Here is a 22,974-nt window from a genome sequence, read left to right on the forward strand (position 1 = left end):
CACTTGGAGAGAAATGGGTATTTTTGTGCTTCTTTCTTGTTCCCTGTTGGGTAGGAGGGTTGGGGCTACCAGGCCCAGTGAAAACACAGCCCAGCCCTGCCTGTTCTGCCTCATCCTGAAGTGTAAGGAACTGCCCATTGTGCTGGGCCCTGTCACTGGCTCTGCCCGAGGCATATGTGGCACTGGGCCTGGCTTTTTAAGGTGCAAACTGTTTTCCTGGATTTCTTATTTTTAAGGGAAAAAACTCAACTACAAAGACTCAGTGGCCAGTCCTGTGCTCAAGCCCTCTTGTTAGGGGAGCTGGCCTCCCTCTTTGGCCACAGCTCAGTGCAGGGAGGGGTGTGGAAAGTGCTGGGAAAGGGGGAGGACCCACCCTCCCCACAGATGGGTTTCTGGCTCTGACTGCGGGAAACCAAACTTTCTTGTATTTTCTCTGGCTGGGTTGTGATGTGGGCATGGCGTTGGTGGGAGGTAGTGCATTTGCTGAGGGTGATGTGTTCTGAGTGTCCCCTCACTCCGTGGCTCTTTCATGTGGCCTGGACTTTTTGGTGAGGGAGCAGCAGTGGGAGGACAGGAGAGTCCTTTAGCGGGCTGATGTGTGTCTGCCAGTTGGCTTTGTCTTGGCTCGCAGCTTCTGTTTCAGACAGATGTTTTGATCCCCCTTTGCTTAGCAACCAGCTGCAGCCTTGCTCTGTCTTGGGAAAACCACTGTCTTTCTGAAGAGCTGCTTCAGCTCCAAAACTGATAACTCTGGAAGGAGCAGCCACCAGCCAGTCAGAACTGAGCTCCGAATTAACACATGAAGGAGACTTTGGCCTCTTGAGACCCTGAAATACAAGAAGATGGTTTCATGTCATGTCCAAGAATGTGGCCACAAATGCTACCTCAGTCTCGGGCTGTCTGCATTGTTAAATGACCTCATTATTTTTCTGACCTGTGGGCCGGGCTTCGTTGGCATTTCCTTAAGGCGTGTTATTGTGGAAAATATTATTCAAGAAAGAAGAGCATGTGGTTTGCTTGGTTACTGAGCTGGACTGGCTCTGGGTGACCAGAGCTCTCACGCAGAGCCGTGCACGGCTGCTCCCACTGAGACCAGCCTCTGCCTCGGGATGGTCTGACCCACGGAGCTCTGTTTTGGGACCCAGAATCCATGAGCCACATTTGCTGTGCTGTGGGACAAACCACAGTTTCCTTGGGAGCCTCTCAAGTGGTGGCTGTTTCTCTTCCACACCCTTGGACCACTGGAGCTGGAGACGGGGAGTTCCCCAGCCTCCTCCAAGGATAAGCCTATTCCTTAAGCCTCCACAAGCCCCATCATTATTTATTTTTATCATAAGCCATGTTGTTCGAGTAGCATAGACAACTTTCTCAGGTTACCAGGGAAACAGGACTAGAAAGTCAACCCACGATCAAATTACCTTGCCGAAAGGGAACCAGCTCAGTTAACCCTTGACCCCACACGCCATTGTCAGAGGCGTATGAACCAGAGCGACTCCATCTTGAATAGGGGCTGGGTCAAATGGATCTGAGACCTGCTGGGCTGCATTCCCAGGAGGTTAGGCATTCTTAGCCACAGGATGAGATAAGAGGTCAGCACAAGATACAGGTCATAAAGGCCTTACTGCTAAAACAGGTTGTGGTACAGAAGCCGGCCAAAACCCACCAAAACCAAGATGGCAATGAAAGTGACGTCTGGCCATACTCACTGCTCATTATATGCTAATTATAATGTATTAGCATGCTAAGAGACACTCGCACCAGCACCATGACAGTTTACAAATGCCATGGCAAAATCAGGAAGTTACCCTATATCCTCTAAAAAGGGGAAGAACCCTCAGTTCCTGGGAATTGCCTACCCCTTTCCCAGAAATGAATAATCCACCCCTTATTTAGCATATAATCCAGAAATAATCATAAAAATGGGCAACCAGCAGCTCATACTGCTGCCCTGCCTATAGAGTAGCCATTCTTTTATTCCTTTACTTTCCTAATAAACTTGCTTTCACTTCATGGACTTGCTCTGAATTCTCTCTTGCATGAGATCTAAGAACTCTCTCTCGGGGTCTGGATCGGGACCCCTTTCCAGTAACACCACGAGACTGCGTCCCTCACTGCCCCTCGTTTCGGCAGTTGCATGGTTCCTTGGTGAGTTTTCCCTCTTTCTCGCTGTCATTTCTCACTATGAGTCTGGCGCTTGTTCTTGGTGTCTTCAGTGGCCACGTCGTTGATCCTTCGGAGGACCTTCGCCCCCTCTCCTCCAGTGAGTGACCCCACCCCTGCAGCCACTCGCTCCCATGCCACGCCCCTGACCCCTCCAGCATCTGTCTCAAACATCCCACTCTTCTTTCTCCACTTTCACCTTGTCACTCATCCTGCAATTCCCAGTCCCAGTGACTATTTTTTTTTTTTTTTTTTGAGACAGTCTTGCTCTGTCGCCCAGGCTGGAGTGCAGTGGCGCGATCTCGGCTCACTGCAAGCTCCGCCTCCCAGGTTCACGCCATTCTCCTGCCTCAGCCTCCCTAGTAGCTGGGACTACAGGTGCCCGCAACGACGCCCGGCTAATTTTTTGTATTTTTAATAGAGATGGGGTTTCACCATGTTAGCCAGGATGGTCTCAATCTCCTGACCTCGTGATCCACCCACCTTGGCCTTCCAAAGTGCTGGGATTAGAGGCGTGAGCCACCACGCCCGGCCCCCAGTGATCTTTGACCCCACTGGGATGGCGACCCTTAGAACCCATGGCCTTCTCATAGCCCCTCGTCTGTCTCACACCTTCCCTCTTTGCCATGTCAGTGACCAGCCCTGCCTTGCACTCACCCTCCCCACCCGCCCTTCTCTTGCTGGGTCCTCCCCACCTGGTGAAACCTCAGCCCTGGTTACATCCTGCACTCCACGCCTGCACCAGCCGCTGTGCAGTAGAAGTTTCTGGAGATGCCCCACTACCACACGGGCAGAGCGTACCATCAGGTCACAACCCCTGAGCCAAGGTGGGCCTTTCACTTGCGTTTCTGTGCTCTGTCCACTCCCCCACCCTCCCAGATGGCAACTCCACCCTCCCCTTTCCTCAGCTCTGCTGTGCCTCCTCCCCATCCTCACTTTCAGCTGATGGCCTCGTCCTCTCATTCCACCCCAAAATTTGAAGCCACTGGAAGAGAATTCCCGCTGGCTCCCTGCACCACCACTACCCGCCCACCATGTCTGTCCCCCTTCCCACCTGCTCCCCGCAGTGCACTGTCTACGTTTCAGGCCAGTGCTACCTGTGTGCAGATGCCCATGGCCTGCTCCAGGGCATGGCTTTCGGAGCTCCCTGCTCCTGCCACATCCGTCCTGACCTCTCTCTTGGCTGCATTGGTCCTGACCTCTCTCTCAGCTGCATCAATCCTCGCCTCTCTCCTGGCTCATTTCTGCCAGCACAAAACTTGGTATAAATGCCCCTGGCCTAAGGAAATCTTTTGACCCACTTTCCTCTCCAGCAGCCTCTCCATTTCTCTGCTTGCCACACGCACACATGCACATATGCACACGCACACACATGCGCACACACGTATGCACACACGCACGATCCATGCACACAATGCATGCACACACAGGAAATTCCTCAGAGAATCATCTGTTGCCACTGTGTCCATTTTCTCTCTCCCTCCCCATTCAGGTTTTTGCCCCTCAACTTTACTGAAACTGTTCCTCTCTGAGCTGCCAAAGTCTGACTAAAGTGACAAATTCTCAGTCCTCAAATTATAGATGCAGAAGCAGCCTCTGACCTGCTGACTGCTCTTGCTTCCTTGAAACGCTTTCTTCTCCTGGCCGCCAGGATGCCACGCACTGCTGGGTTTTCTTGTATCTTCTTGGTCACTTCTCAGTCCACCCTGACCTTCAAACATGCTGCACCCAGAAGTCGGTGCCCTCCACTCACTCCCTAGGGGATCCCCTCCAACCTCATGATTATTTTATTTTATTGCTGGGATTACAGGTGCACGCCACACTCCCAGCTAATTTTTGTTGTTGTTTGAGACGGAGTCTCACTCTGTCGCCCTGGCTGGAGTGCAGTGGTGCGATCTCGGCTCACTGCAACCTTCGCCTCCTGGGTTCAAGTGATTCTCCTGCCTCAGCCTCCCAAGTAGCTGTGATTACAGGCGCATGCCACCACACCCAGCTAAATTTTGTATTTTTAGTGGAGGTGGGGTTTCACCATGCTGGCCAGGCTGGTCTCGAACTCCTAAACCTCAGGTGATGCACTCACCTCAGCCTCCCAAAGTGCTGGGATTACAGGCATGAGCCATGGCACCGATCTGTTTATTTTTGAGACAGTGTCTCACTCTGTCAACCAGGCTGGATTGCAGTGGCGCAATCATGGCTAACTGCAGCCTCCACCTCCCAGGTTCAGATGATCCTCTCACCTCAGCCTCCCAAGAAGCTGAGACCACAAGTGTGCACACCTTGCCCGACTAATATTTTTTATTATATTTTTAGAGATGGAGTCTCCCTATGTTGTCCAGGTTGTTCTCGAACTCCTGAGCTCAAGTGATCCTCCCATCTCAGCCTCCCAAAGTGCTGGGATTAGAGGCAGGAGCCCCCACACCCGGCCCCATGATTGTAAATAACTCTGTCTGCTGGGACGCCTGGGGGATCTTTCCAACCAGATTTCTCTGCTGGACTCCAGACTTGCAGAGCTCTGTCGTCAGCCTCCACGCAGGGCTGCAACAGAGCCACGGCATGTCTGGTCCCAGCAGATGCTCTGCCCAGACCTGTCCTCTCACTCTTTGCTGTCACGCCAGGGCCACTCCATCCCTTCCATTGTTCAGGCAATGAACATGGCATCATCCTTGAACCCTGTCTTTCTCTCATATCCCATAACCAATCTGTCCATGGTTCCACCTTCAAAATATACCCAGATATGTGATGATGTTGAGGAATTGCTGGTAACTTTTTTAGATGTGATAATGGTATTGTGGTTGTGTTTTGTTTTTGTTTTTGTTTTAGACGGAGTTTCGCTCTTGTCACGCAGGCTGGAGTGCAGTGGCGTGACCATGGCTCCCTGCAACCTCCGCCTCCCAGGTTTAAGCAATTTTCCTGCCTCAGCCTCCTGAGTAGCTGGAGTTACAGGCATGCACCACCTCACCTGGCTAATTTTTATATTTTTAGTAGAGACTAAAAACAGGGTAGTGGTGTGATCACAGCTCACTGTAGTCTTGACCTCTTGGGCTCAAGCAATCCTCCTGTCTCAGCCTCCCAAATAGCTGGGACCACAGGCTCCCACCACCACGCCTGGCTAATTTCTTTAAAAATTTTTATAGGGATGGAGTCTCACTGTGTTGCCCAGTCTTGTCTTGAACTCCTGGGCTCAACCAGTCCTCCTGCCCTAGCCTCCTAAAGTGCTGGGATTACAGGGAGGGAGATACCATGCCTAGCTAGTTTCATTTGTTATCTGCCTGGTGTGTGTAGACATCTGCTTTGTCACCTCCATTGTGGAGAGCAACATGGGGTTTCACCATGTTGGCCAGGCTGGTCTTGAACTCCTGACCTCAGGTGATCCATTCCCCTTGGCCTCCCAAAGTGCTGGGATTACAGGCATGAGCCACCACGTCTGGCCATGGTTGTGTTTTTTAAAAGAGCTCTTATCTTTTCCAGAGTCTTACTGAAATATTTACAGATGAAATAATGTGATGCCTGGAATTTACTCACAATAACCTAGGGCAGTGCTTCTCAAGCTTTGGCATGCATTCAAGTCCCCTGGAGGGCTCATTAAAACAGCTTTCTAGGTCTTGAGCCCAGAGCTTCTGATTCACAAGGCCTGGGGTGGGCCCCGTAACTTGTATTTCTAATGCTTGGTGCTGCTGGTGTGAGGAGCCCATTTTGAGTTGAGCTGATCTAAGGTATAGGAGAGTGAGTAGCCTGGGCGTGGGCTGGGAGAAGGTGGAGTTGGTGGGTACGTGGTAATGAAGGTACAAGGGTTTATTATGTCACCCTACTTTTCTTTGGAAAGTTCCGCAACTAAAAAGCACGTGTGTATGTGTGTCTGTCTGTCTGTCTGTCTCCAGAACTCTTCAGCTCTTCCATTGCTGCGCCCTGGCTCAGGCTAGAGTCCTCTCTTGCCCAGGTGGCGCTAGCACCTCCTAACTGGTCTCCTTCCTTCTCTCCTTGTTCCTCTAGAGTCAGTTCTCAACAGAGCAGCCAGGATGATCCCCAGACCCCTGCAGTGGCATTCAGAGTGACACCCAAAACCTTTCTGTGACCTCAAACTTCTGTGCAGTGTGTTCCCCACGCCACTTCCTCCATGAACCTTCAGTCACACTGCCCGCCTCGCTGGGGCTTGCACTGGTCAGGAGTGCTTCTGCCGCAGGACCTTTGCACGTGCCCTTCTGGGCCTACAGTGCTCCTCCACTCTCCATGCAGCCATCTCCCTGGCTTCCTTCAGGTCCGCATTCAGATGTCACCCTTGCAATGAGGCCTTCTCAGACAACACCATCTAAAATGTCACTTCCCCTTCCCCACTATTCATACCCTACTCCCTGCTCACTTTTTCTGCTCCGCGCCTGTCACTGTCTATATTGCACTGATTGATCTTATCTATCCTGGCAGGAAGCTTGAGCAGCGCCCGCCTCTTCCTGGCTGTGCCTCGGCAGTGCCCCCACCCCAGCCTCCCACCCCATCTTGGTCTGCACCCCCTGCCATCACTCATCCATTCATTCCTCCTGTTCCTCTTGGCCACTGCCAAATGCTGGATGGTTTCCATCTGTTTGGTTCACTGCAGTGTCTCTGTCCCTGGAAGGGTGCCAGCCACAGAAGGCACGAAGATGTGTCCACAGAGCCGGCGGCTAAAAATCTGGCAAGAGGAGTCGAGGAAGGGGGCTGAGGAGGTAGAAGGGAGGGCTTTCCTCAAAAGGCCAGAAATTCGTGGCCAGCCAAAGGGGAAGCAAAGACATTCTCGTGTAGGAAAACTTACAGGAAATGCAACTAAAAGCGTGGGAGACAGGAAGTCTGTGTATTTCTGAGATTATCAAGAAAGGGGGGATGGAAGTTGCAAATGGGCAGGCCAAATTCAGTCTGCAGAGGTGTGCTTCCAGCCCACGCAGTGCTTAAAATAAATGGAGATGGTTGCCAGCACTGGAAGGTCTGGAGTGCCCTGTCTCCTGGAAACACTGCAGCCTGGCACCACTGGGCTGGTGAGCATGACTGGCACCTGCAGCAGCTGCCCACCAGCTAATGGCAGGTGTGTGTTCTCTGCTCACCCAAAGCCCTTCCAGCAGCTTCATTTTGTTGTTGTTGTTTATTTGTTTTTGAGACAGGGTAGTGGTACAATCACAGCTCACTGCAGTCTTGACCTCCTGGGCTCAAGCAATCCTGCTATCTCAGCCTCCCAAGTAGCTGGGACCACAGGTTCCCACCACCATGCCTGGTTACTTTTTAAAAGAATTTTTGTAGGGATGGAGTCTCCCTGTGTTGCCCAGGCTGGTCTTGAACTCCTGGGCTGAAGCAATCCTCCTGCCTTGGCCTCCCAAAGTGCTAGGATTACAGGTGCGAGCCACCATGCCTGGCTAGCTTCATTTGCTACCTTCCTGGTGTGTGTAGACATCTGTGTTGTCACCCCCATTTTGGAAAGCAAAAAGGATTTCTTCTTCCTTCAAACATAATTGAGAAAATACAGTTGTTTGGGGGCAAGTAGGGTGCGGGGTGACTCTGGAACCGGCCTCCTGGGAAGCCAGGCCTCTGGGAGTGCTGGAGGTGGGCAGTGAGGCTGCCAGGCCCCTGCCTTCTGGGGTGGGGTGCATGCTCCTGATACATCAGAAGGGTCGGGGGAGGACTTGGAGGTGAAGGCACTGCAGGAAGAGAGGAAGCTTACTGGAGAGACGGTCAATGGGGCAGTCAGGCTTTAAAAGGACGGGCCCACCAAGTGAAAAGATGACCAAGTGTTTGGGCTGAATTGTGTCCTCCAAAAGGATATGTTGAAGCCTAACCCCCGGGACCTCAGAAGGGGATCTTATTTGGAGATAGGGTTGTTGCAGTTGTAACGCTGAGATGAGATTATACTGGAGTAGGGTGGGCCCTTAATCCAGTGTGACTGCTGTTCTAAGAAGATGTACATGTGACAATGGAGGGACATGTGGGGAGAGGATGGCCACGTGATGATGGGGGGGACATGTTGGGAGAGGATGGCCACGTGACAACAGGGGGATGTCAGGAGAGGATGGCCTCGTGACAACGGGGGAATGCCAAAAGAGGATGGCCTCGTGATGACAGGGGACACATGGGGAGAGGATGGCCTTGGGACGACAGGACATGTGGGGAGGGGATGGCCACGTGATGATGGGAGGACATGTGGGGAGAGAATGGCCACATAATGGTGGGGGGACACATGGAGAGAGAATGGCCACATAATGGTGGGGGGACACGTGAGGAGAGGATGGCCACATGACAATTGGGGGACACCACGCGGGGAGAGGATGACCACATAACAACGAGGGGACATATTGGGAGAGAATTGCCACGCGACGACGGAGGAAGGGACTGGAGTGAGGAAGTCATAAGCCAAGGAACGCCAAGGACAGAACAAGCAGCAAACACAAGACACAGGGCCAGGTAAGGAGGTCCCCGGCTCCAGGTATCAGAGGAGCCCTGCTGATGCCTGGATTTCAGCTCTCTGGCCTCTGGACCCAGAAGAGAATGAAGTTCTGCTGCCTGGGGCCTCCCAGTTTGTTTACAGTGAGTCTGTTCATGGTGGAGAAACATCTTCTCATGATGTTCCTGTCCACCATGGTCAAGGCCTGTTTTGAGCTCCTGCATTGTATAAGTCAGAGGTAAAGCTGTTTTTCTCAAGGGGTCAATAATTGACAGTATTGGAATGGGACAAGGTGGTCCTGTTGGGTTTTGTTTGTTTGTTTTTAAAATATGAGGATAGAAAGTCGTGTTTTTACTTGTGCTTAATTTTCCCAGTGGCCGGGATGTGAAGTCCACGCCTGTCATCTGTAATGCACCAGGGCAAGGGGTCGGTTTTGTTTGCATAGCTTCTCCCAGGGTCATCTTCCCACCCCTCAAGTGTGGATTTGGCCACAACACTTTGTTTAGCAATTTCCTGTCATTTTGTTTTATTTGGTCAGGCTTATTTGCATAGTTGAATGAATGCACAAAGGCCTCCTTGTTTCGTGGTTCACAAAGTCAGAACTGGATCATACCAGGGCATACGGGTTCTGTTTCAAGGCTTTGTAAAGCTGCTAGGGTTGAAATAGGTATTTTTGGTGTCGGAATTATTTTATTGCATTTATCAGTTTATCTACTGAGATGGGGCACTGAGAACTGCTGATTTACCTCTCTGCAGCCCTGTCTGCAGTACCTGAAGGCTGGGGGAAGACATTTGGCAATGCACACAGCCTTTGTTTCTGCCTGTGAAGTTGGGGTTTCATAGGCCACCTCCCAGGAGGGCCCTGTAGGTGCATGACAGAGTCCGAGTGTCTCACCAGTGGGTTTGTCATTGCACCCAAGCAGATGCTGGGGGAGAGGATGCCTCTTCCTTCTCCTCACCCTTCATCAGTGTGTGAGCAGAGGCAGGAGACCTGTGGGCTGGAAGGCCCACATCCTCCTTCCCAGGCTGTGAATGTGGCACTTACATGGCAGGAGGACTTTGCAGATGTGATCAGGACCTTGAGAGGAGACATTATCCTGGATGATCTGGATGAGTCCATCGCACTCACAGGGTCCTTAAAAGCTGGAAGAGGGAGGCCAGGCAGGGAGAGGGAAGGAAATGTGAGGATGGAAGAGGGATCCGATTGCCGCGATTGCTGAATTTGAAGAGGAAGGAAGGAGCCGAGAGCCAAGGAATCCAGGCAGCCTCTGGGAGCTGCAAGAGACAAGGAAATGGATTCTGTCCTGCAGCCTTCGGAGCAGATGCAGACCTGCCGACACCTTCCTTTCAGCTCAGCGAAATCCATTTCAGAATTTTGAGTGCAGAGCTGTAAGGTCATGAGTCTGTGCTGCTTAAGCCACTGTGTTTGTAGTCATTTGTTGCGGTAGTAAAGGAGACTAATATGCTATTTTGCCACCATTCTGAGCTTTTGAGGCAGGCTGATGGAAAAGGTGGGACAGTGGCTTCCCAGTACTTTTCTAAGTGATCCTGAGAACCTAATATCCCAGGCACTTCATATTCTGTAACTCTCCACCCTGCTGCCAGCAGAGTCTGCTTAGTCCTCAAGACGAGGGGCTTCTGCTGCTCTCAGAGGTTGATGATTTCATTGATTATCTTTAAGTTACTCTGCACTCTCCCTTCCCCAGAGAAAACCCAGTCAAATTCAAGTGAGCATTGGGGAAAATATTCATTCATTAAACTGGTTCTTAACCTTTTTGGGGGCACCGACCTCTTGAGATTCTGTTGAAAATGGGATTTTAGCCCCCATAAAAATACATATCAAAAATTTGCATAAATTTTGGCCAGGCACAGTGGCTCATGCCTGTAATCTCAGCACTTTGGAAGGCCGAGACGGGCAGATCACTTGAGGTCGGGAGTTCAAGACCAGCCTGGCAACATGGCGAAATGCCGTCCCTACTAAAACTACAAAAAATAGCTGGGTATGGTGGCGCATGCCTGTAATCCCAGCTGCTTGAGTGGCTGAGGTGGAAGAATAGCTTGAACCCAGGAGGTGGAGGTTACAGTGAGCTGAGATTGCACCATTGTACTCCAGCCTGGGCAACACAGCGAGACTGTCAAAAAAAAAATTGCATACAATTTTGAGAACAATTTTGTATACAGATTCCCCCAGGAGCTACCCCTTGAAGCTCCAATGGCTGCCAGGGGCTTCCTCTGTCACCCCAGGTGAAGAGCCCTTGTACAGATTAATTCACATTAAGGCTGATGAATGGCTGTTTTCCTAGTAAGTCTCCTCGCTGTTTGCCAGGTCCTTAAACCATGTTCAGTGGATCCTCATTATTTGTGGATTCCATATTTGTAAATTCATCTGCTCTCTAAAATTTGTTTGTCACCCCAAGATCAGAACTCATAGACACCAGCAGAGTGGCAAAAATGTGTTACCCGATGAGCCTTTTCCCAGCTGAAAAGGATGCTCTGCCATCTTGTTTCAGCCTCTTGGTGTAAACGAGTGTGGTTTTCATGATTTGTTTAGTGCCATGTTTTCCATGTTTTGTGCTTTTTCTTCGTGGTTTCACTGTTTGAAAGTGCTGTCTAGTGTTTCCAAGTGCAAGAAGGCAGTGATGTGCCTTATGGGGAAAATATGTGTGTTTGATAAACTGTATTCAGGTTTGTGTTCTAGTGCCACTGGTTGAGTGTTAACGAATCAACACTGTACAGATGATTCCTGACTTACGATGGTTCCTTCCAGTATGATTTTTCAACTTAACAACGGTGTGAAAGTGATATGCATTCAGTAGAAACCATCTTTCAAATACCCATGGGACCATTCTGTTTTTCACTTTCTGTTCAATAGTCTATACATTTCATAAGATATTCAACACTCTTTCAGAAAGTAGGCTTTGTATTTCATGATTTCGCCCAGCTGTAGGCTAACATGTGTTCTGGATAGGTGGAAGGCAAGCTGAGACATACCTCTATGGTGTTTGGTAGGTTAGGTGTATTGAATGCATTGTCAACTTAGGATATTTTCAACCTATCCTGGGTTTATCAGGACATGACCCCATTGTAAGTTGAGGACCATCTGTTTATTCAGTAAGGTGTCTTTTAAATAGAAAAACACATAAAACAAGGTTAGTATTGATTGATTGACAAAAATGTTGCAACCTGAGGCTTTCAGGAACCTAACTCTGCATTTCCTTTAGGAGTGCTGCTTGCTTCAGTATCTGCTGGTAACTCTATGGAACATAGCTACTGTGAATAATGGGAATTGGGTGTATTTTCAAGTTGTTGGCCTCTCCAGCTACGCTGGTAATCAGTCCTGCTCTTTAAATCACATCTTACCATCAGTCCTGCCTAGAGAAATGGAGGAAGGGAGGTCTCTGGTCTTACGGTCTGTCCCGACTCTCTGCCCCACCAGCTATGTCCCGAGAACCAGCCTGGACAGAGCCATCTGATTGGTGGGTGGTAGCAGGTCATGTTGTGAGGCCCTGGTGCCTGCCTTCTGTCCTCCTGTGCTCGCTAGAGGAGCATGAGGCAGGAGCAGCCAGTCCATGCTGGTTCCTGAGCGAGGCAGCTCTAGGGCTGCCAGCACCCACTCCTGGGGGGCTGAGGGTAGGAAGAGCTTCAGAGGGGAGGATGGGACTGTCTGACTATATTTCCAATCCCAGTTGGGACTTGTGGTCTGATGAGGACAAGTGCCTTTGAGGGGGATGGGGATGGTTGAGAGGAACCAGGAAATCAAATGTGTCCTGGAAAACATGGCATGGTGGATCTTTTGAGTTGGGGTGTTGGGATGTGTGTCAGCTAAAACAAGGTTCACCTGCTTCAAATGTTCATCCAAGCTTTCTACACTTGCCTCTCTGAGTCAACATCTTTAGAGACAGCAGGAAGTGATGAAAGTCAGTTCACAGTCCATCTGCTCTGAGGGCTTGGTATGAGGGGCTGATGTTTTCTGTCATTTTCTCCTTTCTAACATTTCACTTTGGGATCTTAGTTCCTGGTTGAAATTCCTTAACTGTGGGAGTCGAGGCAGCCTAAGAATCCTTTTCGGCTGCTTAAGACAATGAGGTAGAGAGGGAACCAGCTGCCCCTTTTCTTACCTCCATGATGATGTAGAAATGGTTCCATCCAGCCCAAGGGTTCTTCTGGGGCCCAAAGCTCCTTAAGGGCTCTGTGCATAGGATTTGAGGATTAGTTTTCTTGGGTGGGGAGAAAAGTCCATCTTTATTTGTATAAATCCTACCTGAAATGCAGCATTTCCTCTAATTAGGAAGGCAGGCAACAAAACCAGTATGTTAGCTATGTCTGTGACTCTGTCACCAATGTGGGTTAGCCGTATCTCTGACCCTGTCACCAATTGCAATTACAGATGTCTCCACATCACATTAGTGTTGTTTCAGATATCTTGAAGTAGCATTTGTTCCCATTACTAGTTTTAAATTAAGGTGGTTAATAGACCCCACTGGATTTTGCGATTTAATATGCTGATAAGGCACATATATTGCTATACTATAACATTTTTTAAAAATTTTGATAACTAGATTTCAATAAGATTGGTATTTGTGATCATATTTATTTTCTTGATTTTTATAACAGCTTTATTGAGATATAATTTCTGTACCATACAACTCATTAAAGTGTACAACTCCATGTTTCTAAAATATATTTTCAGGATTGTACAACCATCACCACCACCATCACCATAATCTAATTTTAGAATATTTTTGTCCCCCTTAAAAGAAGCTTCGTACTCATTAGCAATTATCTACATTCCCCCTTTCCCCACTCTCAGCCCCTGGCAACCACAACATCTACTTTCTGTCTCTAGAAATGTGCCTGTTCTGGACGTTTCATAGAAATGGAATCTTGTTTTTGAGACAGAGTCTCACTCTGTCACCCAGGCTGGAGTGCAGTGGCGTAATTTCGGCTCACTGCAACCTCCACCTCCTGGGTTCAAGCCATCCCCCTGCCTCAGCCTCCCGAGTAGCTGGGATTACAGGCGTGTGCCACCACGCCCAGCTAATTTTTGTATTTTTAGTAGAGATAGGGTTCCGCCACGTTGCCCAGGCTGGTCTCGAACTTCTGACCTCAGGTGATCCGCCTGCCTTCGCCTCCCAAAGTGCTGGGGTTACAGGTTACAAAGTAAGCCACTGTGCCCGGCCAAAATGGAATCTTTCTGAGGTCTTTTGTGACTGGCTTTTTTCATGTAGCATAATGTTTTCAAGGTTCATCTATCTTTGTATTTTGTTCTGTGCACTTAAAACATTATTCTGAGAAGGGGTCTAAAGGCCTGCCCCGTCGTCACCAGAAGGGCCTGTGGCATCATTGGAGAGGTTAGGGCTCTCCCTAACCATTAGGGCTCCCTGCGCCTAATGGTTCTTCCCTCTGTCAGTTTTGCATTAAAACTAGTACATGCCTTGGCTTGAGCATGGACAATCACTGCCAAAGACCCGGCAGGCAAGGCACGCAGCTTTCCTTGGGATGGGTTGGACCCAGGCCCTGGGCACTCAGAGGTACTCAGGCACCTCTGCCCAGTCTCCCCAAGTTACCACCTCCACAGGTGCCTTGGAGTGAGTGGGCATCTCCAGGATGTAGCCTCTAGTGGATGATACCCGTGGACAGGGACAGCAAGGTAGAGTAATAGGGCCAGGCCCCAGGTGCCTGCCCCCAGCTGGACGCCAGAACCCCAGGACCCCAGCTCCTCCAGCCCCCAGGAAGCTGTCAGCACTTCCAGAGAGCAAGCTGTTGGTGGGAAGGTCTGAATCCTTGCAGCTCTGTGATTCGCGAATCATAAAACCTCCACACTTGGTGTTTGTGGGCCGAGCTATTGTCTTTGTGTTTTCTTTTTGGAGTGGGTGGGAAGCCAGCTTGGCAAGCCGGGTGTGAATGAACAGGAATGAGCAGGAGACGCTCGCTGATGCCTTCTGTGATGTGTTTCTTCCCCAGCTCCAGAAGAAAAGGAAGTCATTAAAGGACAGTATGGCAAGCTCACGGACGCGTACGGCTGCCTGGGGGAGCTGAGGCTGAAATCTGGTGAGTAGCCGCTCGCTGGAGGAGCAGGCGCCAGGCTCCCCGGTGGGCAGGAGCCTCTGTGTCGGAAGGGGCCTCAGTGCAGGCATTCTGTTTGACCGCTCTTCTCTCTCTCTTCTTTTTTTTTTTTTTTTTTTTTTCTCCGAGATAGAGTTTTGCTCTTGTTGCCCAGGCTGCAGTGCAATGGCGCGATCTCGGCTCACCACAACCTCTGCCTCCTGGGTTCAAGCAATTCTCCTGCCTCAGCCTCCTGAATAGCTGGGACTACAGGCATGCGCCACCATGCCCAACTAATTTTTTGTATTTTTAGTAGAGACGGGGTTTTTCCATGTTGGTCAGGCTGGTCTGAAACTCCGACCTCAGGTGGTCCACCTGCCTCAGCCTCCCAAAGTGCTGGGATTACAGCCATGAGCCGCCGTGCCTGGCCGACCTCTCTTCTCTTTTAAGATGTTTCTTTATGCCTCGGGACCTGCTCCTCCTGCAGGAACCTGCAGGTGGGGAGGTCAAGGTGAGTGTTGCCTGGTTGTCACCTGCCTGTGCTGGGGAGCAGGGTGGGGTTCCCGGCACCCCCACCCTGTGCCAGAGAAGCTCGTCTTCATTGCTTGCCGGCGAGGGCCTAAGTGTTTCGAAAGTCTGGTCTGGGGCTTCTGCCCAGGGCATTGTCCGCAGTACTCTAGAAGATGTGCCAAGGCGGGTGGGTGAAGACAGGGACCAGGGCAGATGCCCGGGGGCACAGGGGTGGGCTGGGAGTTGTCAGCAGGAGAAAAAAGCCACCGATGTGTGACTGTCAGTCAGTGTGGGGTGGGAGGGAGAGGAAGGGACAGTGTGATCTGACTTGCGAAGGGAGAGAACTTCCAGGAAGACGTGGGCATCTCTGCTCACTCTGAGAGACTCGGGGGTGAGCCGGTGGTGGCCGGCTGTCGTGGGTGGTCACAGCCAAACTCAGCTGTTCCTGGAGCTCAGGAGCCCTGGGGCTTTAGGTTCTACCACCTGTTTCCTTCCTTCTCTCTCAGGGGCCCCCTTGCCATCTGTGACCTGGCTGTGGACATCTCTTGTGACTTCTGGGGCCGAGACAAGAGCCCAGTCGCATTCCTGATTCTCAGTCCCACCTGGCTGAGATGGGAATGGCTGTATGGGTTGTCTGAATTCGGGCTTTCCCTGAGCCAAGCGCACACCTCCCTTCCCTGCTCACAGCAGCTGTTTTCAGAGACTGAGGATGTTTAAAGCTGCCAGAAAAGCACGGTTACGTTGGCCATTCCTTTTCTGGGTGTTTTCTGTCATGGAATGTTTTTCCCTGAACTGTGACGATTACAGTGATCATTTCCAAATAGCATTTAGGAAAAATACACAGTACCCACATGACAAAGTGCATTTATGAAATGTCTGTTTCGTGCCAAGAGCTAGCCGTACATTCACTTATTTAATCCTAAAAATAGGCTACCGTGATAATGCATCTTTGTCCCCGTTTACAGTAACGGGAACAGGCTCAGAAGCTTCAAGTAACTTGCCTTAGGTCAGAAACTTAGTTGGGGTTTGAAGCGCCTCCAAACGCTTGCTTTTTCTGTGGAAATGTGCGGGCTGCCGAGGGTTTTCTGCAGGACTTTCCGCTCTGCAGCGATCTTCCTGAAGTTGCAGGAAATCCCTGTGGCCCTTGCCTTCCATGGTGATGACCGTGAGGATGGTGGCCTGCACCTGCATGGGACTCACTTAGGAACTTGTTAACACGGCTCCCGAGGCCACCTGTGCTGTTGTCACCCTGCCTTGCAGGTGTGGCAGGGATGCCGCGTTCCATCCATGCTGATGCCCTTTTTTCCACATGGTAGTATCTGGGCCCCCAGGATGCCTCACAGTCTTGGCTTCCTTCAGTTATAGTTGGCAGCTGCTTTTGGTCCTTACATGAATGACTCATTTTGCATCCGACAGGGACTGGGATTCGACGAATTACAGTAACCGGCTCAAGGTCACGCCATTCTCAAGTGGTGCCCTGGGTTTTAAACTCATGCCTTGCGGCACCAGGGACTGCCTTCAACCACCAGGCTGTTCTCCTTTCTGAAAGGGACAGGTGGCTGGGCTCACAAGGGGGACAGGAAGTGCAGTACCTTCCCCCATCCCAGGGGAAAAGTGTTTTTTCCCAGGGCTGTGATCTAAGATCAGCTGTGGGAAATTGGTCCTAACCAGGAAGGGTGGCAGCCCCAAAGATGTCTTATTAGAGCGAGCCAGGGTGTCTGCGGGGGTCAGCAGGGTCTAATGGGGCAGGGAGTGCTCAGAGAGGAGACCACCTCCCAGGGCTGCCCTAGGCGAGGCCTCCTCCCTGCCTTCAGCCAGTCCCCGCCACCCCACACCCCACAGAAGGGAATGAGGCTTCTTGTGGACCATGCGAGACCAGCCCTGCTCCGAGGCTTTGGGTGCCCCCAACCCCTGCCCACCTGTGAGAGTCACCCCCCGGAGTGGGTTGGAGTTTCTCTGAGTGTGGTGTGTATGAGTTTGACTTTGGCGATGTCAGGATAATTTGGTCTGTTTTCAACACATTCTGGAAAGCACCCTGAGCATCTGAAGGATGGAAGGATTGGGCTTTAAATCAAGTTTTTTCAGTCCCCATTGGTTATCTTAAGGGGCGTTTGACTTTAACTTGATTTTCTTTTTCCCCTGTAAGTCCCTGACCCAGAACTGTGATCTATTTTCTTTTGTGTTTTCAGCTGTTGAGCATGTTGGGCAGCACGGAGTGTAGCTACAACTGTGTGACCCCACCTGTGTGACTGACTCCACCTGTGTGACTCCAGTCGTGTGACCAACTACAACTGTGTAACTGACTCCAATTGTGTGACTAACTCCACCTGTGTGACTCTGCGTGACTCCAACTGTGACTCCATCTGTATGACTCCAATTGTGTGACCCCCACCTGTGTGACTCTGACTGTGTGACCCCCACCTGCGTGACTCTGACTGTGTGACCCCCACCTGCGTGACTCTGACTGTGTGACCCCCACCTGCGTGACTCCGACTGTGTGACCCCCACCTGTGTGACTCCAACTGTGGACTGACTCTAACTATGTGACTGACTCCAACTGTGTGACTAACTCCACCTGTATGACTCCAACTATATGATTGACTTCAACCGTGTGACCCCACCTGTGTGACTCCAATTGTATGACTGACTCTAACTGTGTGACTCCAACTGTGACTCCATCTGTATGACTGACCTCAACTGTGTGACCCCACCTGTGTGACTCCAACTGTGTACTGACTCTGTGTGACTGACTCCACCTGTATGACTCCAACTATATGACTGACTTCAACCGTGTGACCCCACCTGTGTGACTCCAGTTGTGTGACTGATTTCACTGCGTGGCTAACTCCACTGTTGCCTGACTCCAGCTGCGTGACTTCAGCTGTGTGACTCCATGTATGTGACCCTAGCTGTGTGACTCCAACTTTCAGTTGCCACGAAGACAACCAGCTGAGTCAGGAGTGGGCCTCCCTTTCAATGTTTTTAGCTAAGCATCTCTGCGCAAAGAAAGAGGCTTCCCCACAGGCTCTTAATTTGGGACAAGTTTTCCCTTAGTTTGGGAAAAATTTCAATCTACCTAAATTAGCCTTTTACATTAGAAATCGAGAAATATGCACAAAAATTCATAAAAGCCTTTTTCCAGGTTCCAAGGTTTTTGTAGAAAGCCCAAAGTTCCCCTTTCCTTCCTGAAATGCCAGCAGGAAGGGGTTGGAGCTCCCGTGATTAGCCAGGGAGTCAGGCTTCCTGAAGTTTACACAATACAAAGCATATTAAGTGAGAATGTAGCAGAAAAAAGAACTTATCCCAATGATTATAGCAATTTAAATTCTCTTGAACCCAAGCTCTCAAGGCCTACCTGTTTTATAGCCTCAAGGGACTCTACTCCTATCCCAGACTATAATGAATTGTGTCTCCTGGAGTTGTGCAGTACGCAACCTGTGAAGCTGTACACGACAGCCCTATAAATTCTCTAGCAGACAGCCCTCCTAGATTCTAGTTCCCACTTCACAGCTGAACTGCATTTAATCTCTGTAGGACTGTTTTCCTGTCTGTAAACCTGGGAAAACTGCCTCATCTCTATGTTGCCTAGTTCTCAGGAGGTCCACATGGGCCATGCACATGGTAGCCATGAAGAGTGTGGAGTGCTCCTCCAACACCAGGCGGGCTGGCCACAGGCAGTTTCTTAGAGTGTGGCCTGGGGACGCTGCCACCACTGAGAAGCTCTGCTGTCTCTCCTCTGTCCCTGGGAGGGCTGGAGGGAGGAGGGTGCTGAGTGAGAGGGACCTGGCCTGCAGAGGGCTGAGGACGAGGTGTGAGCTGGAAGGCCAGGCTGTGTGGCCTCGGGGTGTGGACTCCTGGTGGGGGGCTCCTCTGCACAGGCTAGCAGAGGGCTGGTTTCATGGGCAGTCACTTCAGAAGGAGGATTCCCTGGAGGGGAGTTTGAACCCTTAGTCTTTTGGGATGCAGTGTTCTCTAGCAAGTCTTGAAGCGAACTGGCCTTTGTCGGTCTTAGATTAATTTAATTCCTGTGCCCAGTGGTGGGATATTACCAAGAGAGTTGACACCCAGCTCCCTGAGGGGGAAGCTCTGAGATGATGCAGCATTTGCCAGTTTCCAAGGTGTAAATTCACGGGCCAGGGCTGATTTCAGGTTCCCAGCGTGGAGCTGAGGAAGGATCTGCACCAGGGGTGCTCACTGCGGGTGTTCACTGCTGTGGCCGCCGCTGCCTACACCTCCCTCATGTTCTGCAGAAGGGAGGCGGGAGAAGGCCCTGAGACCATGCCGCATGGGCACACAGTGCTTAGGGTTCTGAACCTGCGGGTGGCGGGGGAGGCTCAAGGGTCATCTGGCCGAAGCTTCCCCCTTCACAGGTGGGAAAGCCTAGACATCTTTAGTCCTTTGTTTGGAGCTTTAAGTCTGAGGGTGTCTGTGTGAGCAGAGGGACAGATAGGATGGCTGGAGGGACCCCAGGGTTGGGATTGGCACAGACCAGGCTGGGAAGGTGAACTCAGAGCTGAGACAACACAAGGAAATGCCAGCCCAGAGCCTTGTGGGAGGCCTGGGGTGGTCCCGGTAAACGGGGCCTTGGGTCTGCAAGCCACGTATCATGACTCCAACAGCCAGCTTTCCTGGCCTGATAACAAATTGCCTAGGACCTGCCACTGGCTCTTGCCTCCCTCCACCTCACTCTGGCAGCTCCCTCTGACCCATGCATGGCTTTGCTTTGGCCAGAGCCCTGGAACCAAAGCCCTTTACCTGGAGGGGACATTGAGACTATTGGCGCATCCTCCTGGGAGGCCCAGAGAGGGTAAGAGCCTTGCCTGAGGCCACACAGGCCACTGGAGGTGTGCAGAGCCTGGAGCCCCACTCTTCTGAGTTTTGTTTTTCCACTTGCTATGAGATCCTTGATGGTTTCAGGGCCCTGGTCTCTCCCTCAGCTGAGGACTGCCAAGAACCCCGCAAGCCTAGTTAGCTTCTTGGCTGTCAGAGAATTGATCCTGCCTCACAAAAGCAAATCCTGTGCTCTAGGTGAGCATCGGGAGGGGCCTCACACACCTGGGGCAGGTGGGGACCAGTGGCTTGTACCACACTGACGGTGGCCCGGGAGTCAGCGACCCCCCACAGCCTGGTGCTAGGCTCAAGCCAGGACACTTTCCTTAAAACCCATAGTACAGGCCAGGCATGGTGGCTCATACCTGTAATCCTAGCACCTCAGGGGGCCGAGGCAGGAGGATCACTTGAGCCTAGAAGTTCAAGACCAGCCTGGGCTATGTAGCAAGACTATGTCTCTACATAGTGATGGTATCTACAGCACCATGCCAGGAGCGGTGGTGCACGCCTGTAGTCCCAGCTACTTGGGAGGCTGACATGGGAGGATCGCTGGAACCCAGAAAGGGGAAGTTGCAGTGTACTGAGATCAAGTCACTGCACTCCAGCCTGGGTGACAGTGCAAGAACCTGTCTCTAAATTTAAAAAAAAAAAAAAAAGCAAACAAACAAAAAACCCATGGTATACAGAGAACACAGTCAGGCAGTCAGGCTGTCAATGAGATTAGGCAGGACACAGTGAGGCTGGGATTGAAGGAGGAGGAAGCCATCAGTGCTGGGTCAGGTAGGCAGGGCGGGGCCTTCCCGGAGAGGCAGCGCTCCACACAGCGGTCCTGAGGTTTGGGTAAGGCTCTTCCACAGAGGCCTCTGTGGTTACACCCGTCCCACCAACTGTCTGGGACACACAGGCAGGGGCAGTTCTAAGGAAAAGTGTCCAGGTCCTTGGCTTTTTTCTATCATGGAGCACCTGTGATGGAGGACAGGGTTCTTATTCCCCTCTGAGGTCTCCCTGCTTCCATGTTAGGGTAGAGGGTAGGCCCTTCTCTCTTCTGGAAGCTCACCGTGTGCCGTGCTCCAGGAAGTAACTCCCCCTAGGATTCCAGACAAAGGGACAGTTCAAAAGCTTGTCAACAGCATTGCAATAAGGTCAGGACTAGGTAGCAATCTGTTTGCAAGTCAGGTGATGTCCAATTGTTTGCTTCCCCCATAACGGAAGGAGAATTTAATTGGGGTATCAGCTGACACATTAGTAACCATTTTATCAGCAGGTTATTGTCATTTCTTAGCGCTAACTCAGAAGGACTTTGAAGAATCGAGTGACATTTCTACAATGAAGCCCTTTCCATTCCCATCTATTTATTAATGTGAACAGGATCTTTTAGTGTTTGCGTCTACAAAAATGAAAACTAGAATTAGAATTGGTGCAGAACCTACTTTCATTCCTTCAATAAATATTTATTCATCTCATTAAGAGATGCCTTTCCAACACATTATGACTTTTTGTATCAAATGATTATTTGTCGGCCAGGCACGGTGGCTCATGCCTGTAATCCCAGCACTTTGGGAGGCCAAGGTGGGCGGACCACTAGAGGTCAGGAGTTCTAGACCAGCCCAGTCAACATGGTGAAACCCCATCTCTACTAAAAATACAAAAATTAGCTGGGCATGGGGGCTCATGCCTGTAATCCCGGCTACTCAAGAGGCTGAGGCAGTAAACCTGAAAGGCGAAAGTTGAACCCGGGAGACAGAGGTTGCAGTGAGCCCAGATTGCGCCACTGCACTCTAGCCTGGGCGACAGAGCAAGACTGTCACCTCCCAGAGACCCCACCTCCTAAAACCATCGCCTTGGGTGTTCATACTTCAGCATATTAATTTGGGGGTGCACACATTCAGCCAATAGCAGGTACACTGGTTGACCACACTCTTAAAGAGGACAGCCAAAAAAAATTATTTGGCAGTGTTTTATTTACATTGTATTGTTTACATTGTTTGACCAGTTAGGTATCACTGGAACGATAAACCAGAACGCTCTCTTTTTAAACACTTGGAGTTGAGGAACACACGGCTGCAGGGGCTGATGGGGTGATCAGAACAGGACGTAGAAGCACCAGATATGCTACATTAGGATGGAATTCTGAAGAGGGGGGACTGGAAATATGAGTGAAAGTTCCATGTGGTAAGAAAGAGCATGCTCCTGCAATCCTGTAAATAATAGATGGCAATGAGTATCACGTTACTGTGTAGATTCCATGGGATACTGACAAGAGGCTCCCAGAGTTTTAGTTTTACGTGTCAATATTTAGAATACACTGCACAATATATTATTTACAGGCATTTCAACTACCGATGAAAACCTTCAATGGCAGTTTTAAAATGGGCAGGGAACGCTGTCTGAGTCCAGTGTGTTGCTGTGACAAAGTTCCGTAGTAGACGGGGTGGCTTATCAGCAACAGACATTTATTTCGCGCAGTTCTGGAGGCTGGAAGTCCGAGACCAGCGGCCCGCAGATTGGCCGGCTGTGAGGACCTGCTTCTTGCTCCATAGATGCTGCCTTTTCTCTGCATCTGACATGGTGGGAGAGGTGCAGGAGATCTCTGGGCACAAACCCCATTCATGAGGGCTCCACTGCCATAACCCAGTCACCTCCCAAATACCCCCACCACCTCAAACCATCACCTTGGGTGTTCGTACTTCAGCATATTAACTTGGGGGTGCACACATTCAGTCAATAGCAGGTACACTGGTTGACCACACTCTTTTAAAGGGTACAGCAGGCCAGGTGCAGTGGTTCACACCTGTAATCCCAGCACTTTGGGAGGCTGAGGCAGGTGAATCACCTGAGGTCAGGAGTTCGAGACCAGCCTGGCCAACATGGTAACACCCCATCTCTACCAAAAATACAAAAAATTAGCCGGTATAATCCCAGCAACTCGGGAGGCTGAGGCAAGAGAATTACTTGAACCCAGGAGGCGGAGGTAGCAGTGAGCTGAGATTGCACCACTCCACTCCAGCCTGGGCAACAAGAGTGAAACTCCA

At 50.7% G+C, this 22,974-nt stretch overlaps 1 protein-coding gene across 9 annotated transcripts in view, besides 1 other annotated feature; it reads left to right on the plus strand.

The window, feature by feature from the left end:
• Positions 1-22,974, plus strand: part of SYNJ2 (synaptojanin 2) — a 117,881-nt gene that overhangs the window by 21,387 nt on the left and 73,520 nt on the right. For 8 of the 9 annotated variants that reach the window (XM_047419472.1, NM_001410947.1, NM_003898.4 and 5 more), the window contains one exon: positions 14,522-14,608. Coding sequence is in view for 6 of the 9 variants with exons in the window: in NM_001410947.1 (NP_001397876.1) it covers positions 14,522-14,608 (87 nt within the window). In the remaining 3 variants the exon portion in view is untranslated. Of the gene's footprint in view, positions 1-14,410; positions 14,609-22,974 lie in introns of those variants that run through there. The other variant, NM_001178088.2, reaches the window with a different exon arrangement.
• Positions 6,748-6,887: an enhancer, noted in NCBI's record as "active region_25345". NCBI's record gives its function as "activates an Ori minimal core promoter by ATAC-STARR-seq in GM12878 lymphoblastoid cells {active_cell/tissue: GM12878}" and the evidence as "EXISTENCE:reporter gene assay evidence [ECO:0000049][PMID:35858748]".

The sequence above is a fragment of the Homo sapiens genome, chromosome 6 (genome assembly GCF_000001405.40).
Source record: "Homo sapiens chromosome 6, GRCh38.p14 Primary Assembly".
Taxonomy (NCBI): domain Eukaryota; kingdom Metazoa; phylum Chordata; class Mammalia; order Primates; family Hominidae; genus Homo; species Homo sapiens.